At 56.1% G+C, this 2,364-nt stretch overlaps 2 annotated features.

Moving 5' to 3' along the window:
* Window positions 317-816: an enhancer, noted in NCBI's record as "H3K4me1 hESC enhancer chr4:3715779-3716278 (GRCh37/hg19 assembly coordinates)". NCBI's record gives its function as "activates a minimal SCP1, AML or CMV promoter by ChIP-STARR-seq in primed H9 embryonic stem cells {active_cell/tissue: H9 hESC(primed)}" and the evidence as "EXISTENCE:reporter gene assay evidence [ECO:0000049][PMID:30033119]".
* Window positions 817-1,318: an enhancer, noted in NCBI's record as "H3K4me1 hESC enhancer chr4:3715277-3715778 (GRCh37/hg19 assembly coordinates)". NCBI's record gives its function as "activates a minimal SCP1, AML or CMV promoter by ChIP-STARR-seq in primed H9 embryonic stem cells {active_cell/tissue: H9 hESC(primed)}" and the evidence as "EXISTENCE:reporter gene assay evidence [ECO:0000049][PMID:30033119]".

Below are 2,364 nucleotides of genomic sequence, written 5' to 3'. Positions count from 1 at the left end.
CACACACACAGAGACACATACACATCCACACATCACACGTACACACACACCCTCCACAGACACGACACACACACATGCACACACACACACAGAGACACACACATCCACACATCACACATACACACACACACACACCCTCCACAGACATGACATACACTCACAAACACACATGCACACACACATACAGAGACACATACAGAGATACAGAGACATACACACATCCACGCATCACACACATGCACACACACACCCTTCACAGACATAACATACACCCACACACATGCACACACACACAGAGACACATGCAGAGATACACACACACCCACACATCACACACATGCACACACACACCCTCCACAGACATGACACACACGAACACACATGCACACACACACACAGACACATGCAGATACACACAGAGACACACACACACCCATGCATCACACACATGCACACACACCCTCCACAGACATGGCACACACTCACAAACACACATGCACACACACAGAGAGACACATGCAGACACACACACACATCCACACATCCACACATCGCACATATGCACACACACATACCCTCCACAGACATGACACATGCAAACACACATGCACACACACACAGACACACACATACACCCCACAGACACGACACACACCGAGACTGCTGGACAGGCCCAGGCAGCACAGAATAGGGAAGGAGCTGGGCAGAGCCTGGGGTAGTGCCATGGCAGTCCAAGCAGGGTCTGTGTCCATGGTTTGCTGTGACCCCGGCCTCAGCTCTCACTGCTGGAGCAGTCATTCCTGCCATTTGCTGATCCCAGGGGTGCTGGGGTTTGTGCTGGAGTCACACAGCGTGCCCTTCACTGTGCAGCCAGGGAAACTGAGGCAACACTGCAGAGTGAGGCCCACAGCGGCGGCAGCGGCTCTCAATTTGGGTTTGTGAACGTGGTGGTGAATTTTACGTGTCAACTTGATTGAGCCACAATGTGTCCAGATATTTGGTCCAACATGACTCTGGCGGTGTCTGTGAGGTGCCCCTGGACGGGATTCACATTTGAATGGGCAAACTGAGTCAAGCAGATGGCCCTCGCCAGTGTGGGAGAGCAGATTGGCCTCGGCCAATCAGTTGAAGGCCCAAATAGAGCAGAAAGGCTGAGTAAGGGGAGCTCCTGCTGCCTGACGGCTGAGCTGGTTTTTCGCTGGCCTTCCAGCCTGCACTGAACCATTAGCCCCTCCTGGGTTTAAGTCTCCAGCCTGCCAGCTTCCAGGCTAGAACTGCACCGTTGGCTCTCCCGGGTCTCCAGCTTGCCACCTGCAGATCTCAGGGCTTGTCCACCTCCAGGGTCCAGTGAGCCCATTCCTGACAATCAATCTCTTGCTATCTCTCTATACATATCCGTCCTATTGGTTCTATTTCCTGAGAGCCCTGAATACAGGGAGTGAGGGGCGTGTGGGCTTTGAACCCGGCTCAGTGGGACTTTGCACAGTGATCATTGCAGCCCTGAGATTCCTGGGACACACATACCACACACCAGCCACAGCTCTGGGCACTTGGCTTGTAGCCGCCGCGACACTCGTCTGTAGTTTATAGGGGCACACAGAGGACTGAGGGAACGTGCTGGAAGCCATGCAGATAGCAAGCGACCGAGCCGGGGTTTGAACCTGGGCGGGGGCCAGCTCCAAGGCCTGTACTCTCGACCTCTGCCCCAAGTCTTGTGGCCCCCGTGACCAGGCGACTCTGGCCTTCTGGGCCTGCCCTACTCTAATCGCCTCAGTGGCTGCGCTGGCCCCGCAGTGGCTGTGCTCTCAGAGGCAGCAGCGGGCAGTGCTGCTGGGACCGTCTTGGAACTCCGCTTGGGTGTGGGGACTGGCCGGGGCAGAGGGGGAGGAGTGGGCGGCTGGACAGGATGATGGGAGCAAGGTGAGGGTCACAGGGCCCACAACTGTGAGAGGTCCCGGCTGATGTGCCAGTCAGCATTCTCCACTGAGAAACAGCTGATGGGAGAGAGGTCCATGTTGAGACATGTATTTTAGGGAATCAGCCCACGCAGTTGTGGGGGCTGGCAAGATCCCCCTGCGGATCAGGCTGCAGACCCAGGCAGGGCTTCTCCACCACAGTCTCCAGGCAGAATTCCTGCTTCCTCCACGTAGGCTCAGAGTTTGCTCCGAGGGCCCCAGTGGATTGGATGAGGCTGCCGCAGGCTATGCGGGGCCATCTCCTTTCCTTAAAGTCAGCTGACTGCCAATGTGCGTCACATCGCAAAACACTGGCACAGCAACCTCTAGACATGTGTTGGGATCATGGGGGACCACGGCCTGGCCAGGTTGGCACATACAACCGAGCAGCATGGTTGGGAAGGGACCA

The sequence above is a fragment of the Homo sapiens genome, chromosome 4 (genome assembly GCF_000001405.40).
Source record: "Homo sapiens chromosome 4, GRCh38.p14 Primary Assembly".
Lineage (NCBI taxonomy): Eukaryota > Metazoa > Chordata > Mammalia > Primates > Hominidae > Homo > Homo sapiens.
Note: the sequence above shows the minus strand (reverse complement) of the source record. Positions and strands in the feature narration are given on the sequence as shown.